Here is a 14,160-nt window from a genome sequence, read left to right on the forward strand (position 1 = left end):
GCATTTAGTTTGCTAAGGACAATAGCCTCCAGCTCCATCCATGTTCCCACAAAAGACATGATCTTGTTCTTTTTATGACTGCACAAATTCATTTCTTATTTTGATGCATCATTTTTTAGCCATACATTTCTGACATGTTCAGATAAATACAATGAGTATCAATGTATTGAGAATTAATGTTATAAATACGATGAATATAAAAGAAATTGCTTCCTTAAGAATTACTAATATTTAAAAAATGTAATGTTCTTCAAATCATATGATAAACATGTAAGTTCCGTAAGCATAAGGCTATCAATTTTTATAACACACAAACATGTAATATATGTAAGATACACTGGAAAAAGGAAGTAAAAGTATCTCTACTCAAGATGACAATCTTGTAGGCAGAAAATCCTATGGAATAATTTAAAAAAACTGATTCGACTAATAAACGAGTTCTGCAAAACTACAAGAAACAAATAAATATACAGTGGTGGCCAGGTGTAGTCACAGATGCCTGTAATCCCAGCACTTTGGGAGGCCAAGGCAGGCAGATCACTTGAGCTTTGTAGTTCAAGACAAGCTGGGCAACTTAGACTTCATCTATACTAAAAATAAAAAATACATGTAAGTGCTTAGAAGAGTGCTTGGCACATAGTCAACACTATATCCACATGAAGTGATTGTTATCTTTCTGTATGAATGAGGGAAACTGAAAACCCACAGAAGACTCTTTGTGCTGTTTAAATCATGCAAATGGGCCAGGCACAGTGGCCCATGCTGGTAATCCCAACAGTTTGGGAGGCCAAGACAGGCAGATTACTTGAGCCCGAGAGTTCAGGACAAGCCTGGGCAACATGCTGAAACCCCACCTCTATAAAAAATACAAAAATTAGCTGAGTGTAGTGGCTCACACCTATAGTCCCAGCTTGAGAGTCTGATGTGGGAGAACTGCTTGGGCCCCAGAGGTCGAGGCTGCAGTGAGCTGAGGTCGTGCCACTGCATTCTAGCCTGGGTGACAGAGTGAGACCCTGTCTTGGAGCGGGGACGGGGTTGGGGGAGGAGGGGCGGAAATAGCAATAAATATTCTGAAATGAAATTTTTAAAAGTATAAAATGTCTACATTGAAAACTATAAAACATCATTAAAAGAAAATAAAGACTCAACTAAATGGAATACTATCTATGTGCCTGAATTGGAAAATATAATATTGTTAAGATGTCAATGTTCCCCAAACTGACCTACAGATCAATGCATTTTCTATTAAAATTCCAGATAATTATTTTTGTAGAAATGAATGAGCCAATCCTAAAATTAACATGGAAATACAAGGGATCCACAAGAGCTGAAAACAATCTTGCAAACAATCTTCAAGGAGGATGGCTTGAGTCCAAGAGTTCAAGGCTACAGTGAGTTATGACTACGCCATCTCACCCCAGCCTGGATGACAGAGGAAGACTCCATCTCAAAGAAGAAGGAAGAAGAAAGAAGAGACAGAAGAAAGGAGGAGGGGGAGGAGGAGTAAATTTCTAGACAATAGATTAGGCAATGGTTACCATTTTTACATCAATTATTAAGTATTTTAAACATAAAAGTGGCCTAAAGAATAATATACTAAACACTTATGATGGATCACTCAGATTAAAAAATGAAGCCCTGTGTAGCTCACTCCCTGATCCCATTTAAAAATCATCAGATCTGGTCAGGTGCAGTGGCTCCCACCTGTAATCCTAGCACTTTAGGAGGCCAAGGTGGGCACATCACCTGAGGTCAGGAGTTCGAGGCCAGCCTGGCTAACACGGTAAAACCCCATCTCTACAAAAATACAAAAATTAGCCCGGCATGGTGGCACACACTTGTAATCCCAACTACTCAGGAGGCTGAGGGAGGAGAATCGCTCAAACCCAGAAGGCAGAGGTTGCAGTGAGCCAAGATCGCGCCATTGCACTCCAGCCTGGATGACAGGGCAAGACTCCATCTCAAAAACAACAACAACAACAACAACAAACCCATCAGATCCCAAGATTGCCCATTTGTTCGAATTAGCAAAAAAAGCATTTTAAAATAGCTATCTTGAGATGGTATCAAATATTCTAACAACATTTGTAACTGGAGTTTCAGAAGGAAAAAAGAAATTGTAGCAGAAAAAATTTTTGAAAAATATTGGCCAAAAATTTTCTAAATTTGATGAAAAACAATGAAAGTCCAAAAGGTACAGCAAATCCCAAAGAAAATTAATATAAATCATATTTAGGGACATGAGAATCAAATTGCTGAATGCCAAATATGAAGAGAAAATTTTAAAGTCAAAGGAAAAAAAGGTACACGACATATGAAGGAATGACAATGGGATGACAATCTGAGTAATCATCACAAATAAAGCCCTAAGAACATGGAACATCTTTAAAATGCCAAAAATTTGATAGTTTGTAATGATGTTAAACATATGCCTACTTCATGAAGTAACTCCACTCATAAGTATTTACTGAGGAATAAAAATATATGTCTGCAAAATGACTCAAAAAAGAATGTTTATAGCACTGTTGTTCACAATAGCTCTAACAATATATATAATTCTTAACTACACCAACAAATCAATAAGCACAATTATATACATTATATATAATCATATAAATTAAATACAATGTGTGTATATACATATACAATGGAACACACCTGAGCAACAAATGATATATGGAAAAATATGTATGAATACATGCATAACTATGTTGCATAACACAATCAGAACACAAAATACATACTATGTAATCCCACTTGCGTAAAATTTTTAGAAAATGTAAAACTGACTTATAGTAATAAATCTGTGGTTACCTAAAGGAGGTGGGAAAATGTACAAGAGAATAAGGATAAATTTTGATATAACTCTTTCCTAATATTCTTAATTTCTTTGTGTTTATATGCTTTAGGTTTGTCTCTTGTAAGCATTCTACAGCTAAATTTTGCTCATCTTCCTTAATCCATAATGTTTTTTAAACTGTTCAGTTTAGTCCATTTTAACTTACTGCTATAATTGATACATCTGGAATTTTTTTCTGACATCTTAGTTTATATTTTTTTATTTACCTTAACTATTATATGCTTTCATCCAGGCTTCTATTGTTTTCTTTGTACTTTGACTTCTTTTGTTCCACAAATTGTATACTTTCTGCTTTATTTATCCTTAAATGTTTAACATACTCATGAATTCTAAACTAATAATCTGTTCTCTTTCTCTAAAGAGTACAAGAACCTTCAAATGTTTTAATTAAAGTCATCCCCTTCTCATTAGGGATGTTATTGCTACCCAATACTTACATTCACCTTGTTTCTTTTCCTTCATCAAGCAAATTAGGTATAAGTTTTATAAAATTGTTGCTTATTTAGCTTTATATATACATTTACCAAGTTCTTTATTAAATATCAAAACTTTCTAGTGGGTTCAGCTTCTATCTTGCTCAACTAAATTTTTAAAATCTATATAGGTGAGCATCTGTTCAGATTACTATCTAGCTTTAATAATTGCTATCATTCATATTTGCCTGGTACATCACTGTCCATCCTTTTATTTTCACCTCTTTAATTAAAAATCATGTAGCTATCACTTAAACTACTGAAAAATTCATTGAGAGTTTAACTGGTGAGTGTAAACCATTTATATTAATTTTAAATAATACTTGTTTCTGGCATTTCATTTCATGTTTTTCATTTATTTCACTCTTTCATTTTTTTCCTTCTTGATTTTCACTTTATAAGGTCTCTTATGCTACCTTAAAAGATAAAAATTGTTATTACTGTGGTTGTCCTTAAGGTACACGTTCAATTTATTTAATTATACTGATTTCCTAAACTTGAAAAGATTATGTTAATTCAAGAGCAGTAGAGCTCCCCGCTTTCCCTTCAGTTTTCACCAAAATGCATGCCAGTATCTTCTATATTTGTCTCTGTATACCATCTGCAAGCAGTAATTCTGATCATATACAATTTTTTATTTTGGATATTCTTAGTTTCATGAAAAATAATCTCTTCTAGGCATTTACTTGTAACTTGTATCAGGCTTCATAACATGTAATTAAACATTTTTATTGGAATAAAAATTTCAAAGTTAAACATATATATGTTAAATGTACAGTTAAATAAGTTTTGCTAAATGCATTCACCACACTAATAACCACCAAAGAAAGATACAAAACATTTCCATCATCACCAAAGTTGCCTTATGCCCCTTCTTGGACAATCTCCCACACTTACTTATGGGTAAAGACAATCACTAACTTGCTCTCCACACAGATTGGCTTGTATTGACTAGAACTTTATACAGATGGAATAAAACAGTATGCTTTGAGGATAGGCCTTCCCTTAGCATACCACTTTAGAGATTCATACGTAAAAGTCTTTTGTGAATATATACTTTCATTTCTTAGGTAAATAACTGAGATTTGAATTCATGAAACATATGGGAAAAATACGCTTATCTTTATAAAACTGACAAACTGTTTTCGGAAATAACTGTACCATTTGACAGTGCCAAGAGACAGTAGGAGAGCTCCAGTTGCTCCACATCCTTATCAGTTCGTATTTCAACTTCTTACATTTTAGCCACTATAGACGTATTAGTGACCTTAGTCAGATTACAATTTGCCTTTCCATAATGAAAAAGTTGAACATCTTTCATGAGAACACAGATAAATCTTCTTTTGTGGAAGTGTATGTTCAAATCTTTTGCCCATTTAAAAACTGGCCTGTTTATCTTATTATTGTAGGAGTTTTTATATTTTGTTTTCAAGTCCATTATCAGGTATGAATATTACAAATTGTAATAAATACTGTTTCCCAGGCTGTGGTATGTTTTTTGTTTTCTTAATAGCAGTTAAGAAAAGTAGTTTTCAAATTGGCTAACTTTACCAATTTGTTAATTTTTTCCTTTTATATTCATGCTCTTATGTCTCATCTAAGAAACTTTTGCCTGTCACAAGATTACAAAAATTTGTTTCTCAGGTTTTCTTCTATTTTAAGACAAATTTAATAGTTTTGGTCCTTACATAGAGCTGTATGACACATTTCAAAATTAACTTACATGTATGATATAAGGGTCAAAGTTCTCTTATACCTTATGGATATCCAGTTGTTCTAGTGCTATTTGTTTAAAAGACTATCCCTTACCCCCACTAAATTATCTTGGTGCCTTAACAGAAAATCAACTGACTGTGTATGTGTAGATCTACTTCTGTACTTTGTATTTGGTTCATTAATCCATTGATCCTTAACACCAATAGAACAATGTCATGAATATTTTAGTCTTAAAATCATATAATGTAAATTATCCAGCTTTGTTCTGTTTAAAAATTGTTTTGGACAGTCTGGGTATTCTACATTTCTCTATAAAGTTTAGATTCAGCTTGTTAATTTCTACCAAAAAATCTGCTATTATACTTATTGGGTTGAATTCAATCTATAGATCAATCTGAGAGAGAGCTGCATCTCAAAAATACAAACATAAATATGTATCTCTCTTCATTGTATTCTTCAGTTTCTCCTAGTAGTGCACAACTCTTAAACATATTTGTTAAATTTATCCCCAAGTATTTCATGTTTCTGTTAATTATCCACTGCATATTAAATTACTCCAAAATCCAACACTTTAAAACAAGTTATCATCTCATATAGTTTTTAGAGGAACAACAATTCAGGAGTGGCTTAGCTGGGTGGTTCTGACTCAACATGTCTCAAGAGGTTGTATTCAAGCTATCAGCCAAGGCTGCAGTCATCTCAACATTGGAATGAAGGATCCACTTCTAAGGTCACTCACATAGTTGGTGACAAGCCTCAGTTCATACTGAGTTTTGGCTACTCACAAATAGCATCTTGTCTCTCCAAGAGACAGTGATTTCAGAGAGGCCTAGCAAGTAAAGCAGTACCCCAGAAGGAAATTGCAGTCTTTTACAGAAATCGTAAAAGTGACATACCATCATTTTTGCCATGTGCTTTCTGTTACACAGACCAACTCTTGTAAAATATAGGAGAGGACTATAAAAGCTTGTGACATCTAGGAGGCTGGCTGCCATAGATGTACAGTACATGGAATTTGTAAATCATTTTCTTAGTGCTCATGGCTAGGATATTACAATTTTCTATAATTACTTGGTATCCCGTAAAAATGTTAAACTCACTTTTTAGTTTTAAGAGCACTTTTCCTTAAATAGGAAGTGTGATTCCTTCACACTTCCTATATTAATGAATTTGTTGACTACTTCTTTTCAATCTATGTACAATTTCTTTTTGTTGCCTTTTTGCACCACCTGTGACCTTTAGCAAATGTCAAATTTAAGTGGCAAAAGATGTCTTTGCCTTGTTCTTAATGTTAGGGAAAAAGTATTCAATCTTTCACTAATAACTATGGAGTTTGCTGTAGGATTTTCATGCATATTCTTCATAAAGTAGAGGAAGTTGGTCTCTATTCCTAGGCTACTAAAAGTTTTAAAATAGAATGAGCGTGGTATTAAGACAAACTTTTTCTCCATCTACTGAGACAATCATATGTGGCTTTCTTTTTATATGGTTAACATGGTCAAGCCAACCTTTCTCATCCCTGGAATAAATTCCATGTGGTCTTCATGTATTATTCTTCATGTATTATCTTTAATATATTGCTGAATTCAGCCAGCTATTATTATTTCTATATCCACCATTACAAAGTTATATTGGTCTATAGTTTTCTTATAATGGTTTTGGTAACAGAATAATAACACTGGCCTCATGAAATGATTTGGATAGTGTTCCCTTCTCCTGTTTTTTGAAAGAGTTGAAGAGAATTGGTATAATAGTCATTTCTTAAATAAAATTACTAATGAGCCTATCTTGGCCTAAACTTCGTGTGGGGGGAAAATTTTAGTTAAGAATTCAATATTGTAAAAAGATACCGCACTATTCATATTTTCTATATTTTCTTGGGTTGATTTTAATAACCGTTGACGTTCAAGGAATTTTTCCATTTCACGTAAGTTGAACTGATTGCCATAAATGTTCATAATCTCTTTGTCAAACTTTTGATTTCTGTAGCATATATAATTGTGTCCACTCTTTCATTCTAGGTAATAGCTTTGTGTCTTCTCTCACTTTTCTAGATCAGAATAGCTATAACTGCACTATCCAATACAGTAGCCACTAGCTATATGTGGCTATACAAACACATTAAACAAAATTAGAACTTCAGTTTCAGCTGCACCAGACACAGTTCAGGTGCTTAACAGCCACATGTGGCTAGTGGCTACAGTACTGACAGTGTAGCTGGAGAACATTTCCACATCGCAGAAAGTTCTACTGCACCATGCTGGCCTAGAGATTTATCAACTTCATTGTTCTTTTCAAAAAACCAGCTTTAGGCCGGATGTAGTGGCTCACATCTGTAATCCTAGTACTTTGGGAGGCCAAAGCAGGAGGATTGCTTGAAGCCAGGAGTTTGAGACCAGCCTGGACAACATAGTAAGACTCCATCTCCACAAATAAAATTTTAAAAATTAGCAGGGCATGGTGGCATGCACCTGTAGACCTAGCTACTTGAGAGACTGGGGTGGGAGGATCACTTGAGCCAAGGAGGTCAAGGCTGCAATAAGCCATGATTGTGCCATTGCACTCCAGTCTGGGTGACAGAACGAGCTCCTATCTCTAAAATATGAAACAAAACAAAGTAAAATGGTGGCATGCACCTGTAGTCCGAGGTGCTTGGGAGGCTAAGGCATGAGAATCACTTGAACCCGGGAGGTGGAGGTTGCAGTGAGCCAAGATCATGCCACTGCACTCCAGCCTGTGTGACAAGCCAGACTCCATCTCAGGAAAAAAAAAAAAAAAAAGTTTTATTTACTTTACTTCCTTTTACTTATTTGGAGTCTAATATGCTCTTTTCTTCCTAGCTTAAGGTGAAAGCCTCAATCACTGATTATTTTACCTTACTTTTCTAATTTAAGAATTTAAAGCTGTAAGTTTTCTCCTAAGTACTTCTTTATTTATATTCCCTAAGTTGTAATATGTTGTTTCCATCATCTTTCAGATCAAAAAACTTCCAAGTTACCCTTATGAAATTTTTTCAACTCATTAGTTACATATACATTTTATTTTTCAAATATGTGAGGGTTTCCCAGATATATCTGTTAATTGATTTGCATTTAATTCCATTTTGATCAGACAATCCACTAAACTTTCAATCATCTGAATGACCATCCTGATACCTGAGGTTAGGGACATTAAAGTAGGCACTGTCAGCATGGTGAGGGTAATTTAGGTGGAGTAAGCCCTCAGCCCTTCCCTGGCAATTGCTGATCCTTCATCTTGCTGATGCACATCATATTCTCAATCATCCCAAACAGGACTGAAGGCCAAAAGAATGGGTTCAAATTAAAGTTAGATTCTTCTTTTCTACCCCTGCTCTCCTTCTGCCATCTGATTCCTTCTTTCTAGGGCTCCTGTCATTTCTGGAAGTGAGCTGTAGCTCATGCTCCCCAAAACTTCAATTTTTCCTCACTCCTCTAATTTCCTCCCTGAGAAATTTCAGAGAAGAGCCACTTTGGAGAGAAGGCGAGAGCACCAGAAAGAAAGAGAAGGAGGAAAGGCCACAATACCTTTATGTCTTAATATTGAAGGTCACACACTGTAACTTCTGCCACATTCCATTTCTTGGAAGCAAGTCACTAAGTACAGGACATGCCTTATGAAGGGGGCAGTATCAATTTGTGGACATATTTTAAACCACCAAAATAATGTCAGATTTTTTACTTTAAACAGTCATTTTTTTAATTAAGAGAAGCCAAGAAAATATGTGTAGTCATTTATATTTTTATACATATTTATTAGTTCTGCCTTCTTTATTCCTTCCAGTAATTCATGCATGTATCAGCAAACTAGAGTCCATGGCCTAAACCAAACCCACTGCCTGTTTTTTGTATGACCTATGACCTATGAATGGCTTATATAGTTTTTAACTGAGGAGAAAAAGGAGAACATTTTTGTACCATGTGAAAATTGTTTGAAATTTAAGTATCAGTGTCCATAATAAAGCTTTATTGGAACACAGCTAAACTCATTTATTTATGTATTGTCTATGGCTCCCTTCACAGAAGAGATGAGTAGCTGCAACAGAAACCATACTGGCCTACAAAGCCTAAAATGTTTGCTGTCTGCTTTTTGCAGAAAAAATTTGCCAACCCCTACTATAGACCCAAGTTACGATCATGGGGTGATTTCCCTCGAGCCTGAAGAATTTCTATTATCATTTTCCATATAATACATATGTTGACAAATTCCCAGACTCTGTTAGTCTGAAAATGTATTTCACCTTCATTTTTGAAGGATACTTTTGCTACATGATAACAGGACATTGTGGATAACACATCATAGCAACAGTGGATACTGTTAGGTTCTTCTGAAGATTGTTAATTTTTCTTCTGTCAGTTAATCTGTCTGGACTCAAACTGCAAATACAGAAATTCTGGTTCAAATTTTTTTTGTGAGGGGGGGGGATGTGACATATTAAACATGATTTTTTGACACCTTTTGGCCTCCATTATTTTTACTGAGAAGTCAAGTGTTAATTATCTCATTATTCCCCTGTATTTAATATGTGTATCTTTTCCAGGCTGCTTTCAAGATTTTCTCTTTATCTTTGACATTTTAGCAGTTTATCTATAATGTGCCTAGGTGTAGTTTTCCTTCGTATTTACCCTGCTTTGTGGTCACTGATCTTCCTGGATCTGTAAGCTAGTGTTTGTTTGTTTGTTTTGAGACAGTCTTGCTCTGTTGCCTAGGCTGGAGTGCAGTGGTGTGATCTCAACTCACTGCAACCTCTGCCTCCCAGGTTCAAGCAATTCTTGTGCTTCAGCCACACGAGGAGGCTGGGATTACAGGCGTGCACCACCACACCTGGCTAAATTTTGTATTTTTAGTAGAGACAGGGTTTCACTATGCTGGGTGTTTTTTTGTTTTTTTTTTTTTTAACCAAATAAGGGATGTTTTCTGCCACTGTCTTCAAATAATTTTCGACCCCTTTATCTCTCATTTCCTATGGGACTCCAATTAAGGCAGAAAGACTTCAGTTTTTCCCACACAAGCTAAGCACAGGCAGAAAATTTCCTCAGTTTTTCTAAAAAGCAGCAAACTTGCATAGCTCAGCTATTATAGTTATGTCTTTCAAGGATTATCTCTTATTTGATTTCCACTTTTTTTTTTTTTTTTAATACGGTTCCTGGGGTCTTCCCTGCATACTCACAGCAGTCGCCAGGGATATGGGCAGAGTTCATACTTTAATTTGGGTTTTAGCCCTTTAGCAGCTCTCTCAGTCCCAGGATTTTCCTCCTAAACCCCAAGCTGCTCTGAAAGTCTTCTAACATAATAAGCCAGTATGGTGGTGGTGGTGGTGGTTTTCTATCTCTGAAACTATGCAAGTTAGGAAACCCCTTGTATAAAAAGCTACAAATTCACAATTCTTACCCACTGCTTTACTACCTTTAAAGAATAAACTTTTCCCTACTTTCTGCCTACTTTTGGTCTTTTTCCAGTACTTTTAAATATTTGGTTATTTTAAAAATTTTTTTCCAGGTTTTATCACTGTTACTTGTGGGAGGATTCATTCACCTCACCAATTCACCACTACCTAAAGCTGGTAGTTCCGTTTTTTTTAAGAACAATTTCCAAAACTTGAATCTACAGTTTTACGTATAATAAAATTTATAACGTGATACCTTTTTATAATTAGTATATTGCTAATACTATCGTGGAAAATGGAATAAATTACATAAAATAATGGAAGAGCTCCAACGTCCACAAAAGTAGAAATTTGCAAGTGAACACACATAGACACACAATTTCTTCATGCAGCCTATGCTGAAACTGGTGCCCTCCTATTCAAGATCCATATGTAGCTGGCATACAATCAGGTCTGGGGTTGTCAGGCTGGGTCATGAAAAAACAAAGCAAATAAACCATTTGCAACTATTTAAGAGTTAATAGAAATTAATTTAAGTGTTCCAAAATGTTTTATAGACTATTTTAAATAATGTCCCATGGATTAAAAGACAGAATAGGAAGATGAATAACTGGAATGAGGATTTGTTACATTCCTCTTAGAAACAACAGCAACAATTAAGAATAATTTTAAGGATGTCTTTTTAAAACAAAACACTTACCTTTGTTCCTCTTAAAATGAGAAAATACTTTAAATACTGTTTTTCAAAACACATTACACACTTTTGTTTTAACCAAGACAGCAATGGCAATTGAAAAAGAATCCACAACATTTGTTCTTAGGAATTCTACTTATATTCTCCTCTCACTGACAACTGGATAGTAAAATTTCATGGAATTTCAACCAGAAAACTGTGAAATTAGCAAACTAAATCAGTGGTAATTTATTAAAAGCTCAGAACAGATTATGTAGGTCCATTATACGCAAATTGCTGAGTTGTCTTTGAGTATTTTGAAGGATCCACTTATTCTCACAATAGCAGTGCCTCAATAATAGTAATCTTACAACTGGCAAAAGAATCAATTTTCATGCAGAATGAGTACAACAAATAAAGAGCAAGAAAGGAAACGGAGACCAAGGGCATCTTTTCACACCAATTTTATAAAAAAGCAAACAAAAAAGAACATGCACCATGATTCTGTTATTATTCCTCAAGCCAAAACATTAATGCGGTGGTTTTGCTCTAAACCAGACATAGGAAAGGCTGGCTGAAGCACTGCAATCAAACTAAGTGGATTTACCAATGATACACAAAAATAACATTTGCTAATGTTGAAATTTCAAGCATAAGCAAACAGAAAAATCATCCAGATTTAGAAAGGGCTATGACAAAACTTTTTGGGAATGCTGAATATATTCATTATCTTGACTCTGGAGATAATTTCATGGGTGCCTACATACGTCAAAACTTACCAAATTGTTGTCTTTGCATTCAGTTTTTTACTTCAATTAGACCTCAATAAAGTTTTTTTTGTTGTTTTTTTTTTTATGAGCAGGAAAGAAAACATTGTTGATTCCTATCCATCACTTGGCTACTTGAAAGACAAATAGAAACCAATCCAGTGACTGTAACCAAGTATAATTAACAATCCAATGATCACAGGCAAACAGAAAAGTCACCAAAGTTAAAAAAGTATATCAGTATTTTCAAAAGAAAGTACTAAAGACTCAATAGAAATATTCAAAGACTGCTCAGAGGTTTATGGAGGCCATGTTGCCCATACAATCTATATCCCACCCTGGTGTAGGATGCTCCTGGTTTCCATTTCCAAATGGATATGTGATAACAGTTTATCAGGATTTGTAGCCTTACTGTACTTCTCTTCCTTGCATCTCTGCAGAATCTCTAAGCTCCTCTGGTGGACTGGGTGTTGGAGAAAGCTAAAACTATCCATACTTTTCAAAATTGCACATGGCGCTGTATCATCATGTCCTTAGGAAGCAAAAAAAAACAAACAAAAAAAAAAGGAGAAAAGAAAAAGACATTATATAAGCCCAAACCAACAGAGAATCAAGGACAATGCTGCCAACTATTTAAGGGTGTATAAAAATGTATCAAATAATAGAGGTTATATGTGAATGTCCAATTATTTTGAGGAAAATGCTTAAAAATAACAGGAAAAAATACAGGCATTTTTCAGATATTCAAAGTGTCCTTTTCAGTACTCAAAGTATTGTTAGTTAACACCATACTAGAAATTTCTCAATACAAGCAAAAATTCAAAAGCAATTTGTATGATTTATTTTTTAAAAGGACTTATTTTTATCAGGTCTCAAATATAATTAACATATAGTTGGCAACACTGATGGAACCCCAAAGAGAAATATACCCAGAACAATTTACTTAAACAATTCTTTCACAAATCCTGCAATTAACCACACTTGTAGGAATTCCAACAAGTGTGTCAATAATGAAAACATGAAGAAAAGCACCATAGAGCAGGAAAGCCCAGCAGCACTTCTGTACTTATAAATTTGAAAACAAAGCTGAAGACTCTGTACCTCATTATCACTTCTTAGGAAAATAGGATAGAAATCAGCTACCAGTGAAAAATAGAAGAGAGCACATTCAAGTAAAGACCAAAGCCCCAGATCAGTGTTATTTAAAGTGAGTACTTAGGAAATAAAGTGAATGGGAGATGAGTGCCATAAATATTAGCAATAAAGAGTTTCCAGGCTTTAGGGTGGTGGTTGTGTAACATTTATTCAGAGATCACCTCTAGAGTTAGGGCATAATGTTCAAATTTAAATAAGTTTGCTTTTAAAAAACAAAGTACATAATAATATAGAGGCAAATTAAGTAACACATTAAAATGAACTAAAGTTCTATTACTGCATTTTACTGTATAATTAGGAATGAGATACAACAGAACAATCTTTGGAAAAATCTCATAGCAGAATCATTTTAAAAGTTAAACAGTCTCATACTAATTCAAAGAGGTTTGTAGGGCATATTTTAGTCTCATTCTAATTCCCTAAATTGGATTTATATATCCAGAGAATAGGCAGCCATATTTGGCAATGGAGAGGGAATCTAATACCATAAATCATGTAATATTATACACAGAAAACAGGCTTTTAAAAAATAAAGTGAATTTGAAATATTTTTCATAATAAAAGTAACTAAACTAATAAAATACTATATTATTTGTACAATACGAAAAGTCAATAGGTACAAAGGTTGAATGTTTCAAAAAGAGAAGTATAACCAAGCTTAACATCATTTCTTACTCAAAAGATACCTCGATAAACATACTCTGTTCTCATTATTACCAGTAATCCCCCCTTGATGGATTGCTTGGAGAAAGAATGCTTAGGCCTTAAACTCCACTGCACTTGGTTTGGCAGTCAGCTGAAGGGGACCAGTTGAGGAAAAAACACCCAGTGAGTTCTAGTCAGACTCCATTCAAATTGTAAATTGAAGAAGTTATCACTAAACAATCACGCCTTTCAACAGCTAATCTGATAATCAGCTAGTCAAAAATAATTCAAGAATATTATGTGTTAAAGTATTCTGTATAAGAGCTCAGGATATTAAAATACACTAATTTATTATGTAGAGTTTTAAAAAATCAATCAACATTACTACAACCACCAAACTATTTTCTATTTCATCTAATAAACTGTGGCACTGCCATTTAAAAATGGGTATTTTTGTATCTGTGACT

General features: G+C 34.4%; 1 protein-coding gene across 50 annotated transcripts in view; it reads right to left on the reverse strand.

The window, feature by feature from the left end:
* Nucleotides 1-14,160, reverse strand: part of MYO9A (myosin IXA) — a 296,310-nt gene that overhangs the window by 117,181 nt on the left and 164,969 nt on the right. For 33 of the 50 annotated variants that reach the window (XM_047432576.1, XM_047432553.1, XM_047432556.1 and 30 more), the window contains one exon: nucleotides 12,306-12,425. The exons of the other annotated variants lie outside the window; for them this stretch is intronic. In XM_047432576.1, the coding sequence (XP_047288532.1) occupies nucleotides 12,306-12,425 (120 nt within the window). The remainder of the gene's footprint in view (nucleotides 1-12,305; nucleotides 12,426-14,160) is intronic. 50 annotated transcript variants of the gene reach the window in all.

This window comes from Homo sapiens, chromosome 15 (assembly GCF_000001405.40).
Source record: "Homo sapiens chromosome 15, GRCh38.p14 Primary Assembly".
In the NCBI taxonomy this organism is placed as follows: Eukaryota; Metazoa; Chordata; class Mammalia; order Primates; family Hominidae; genus Homo; species Homo sapiens.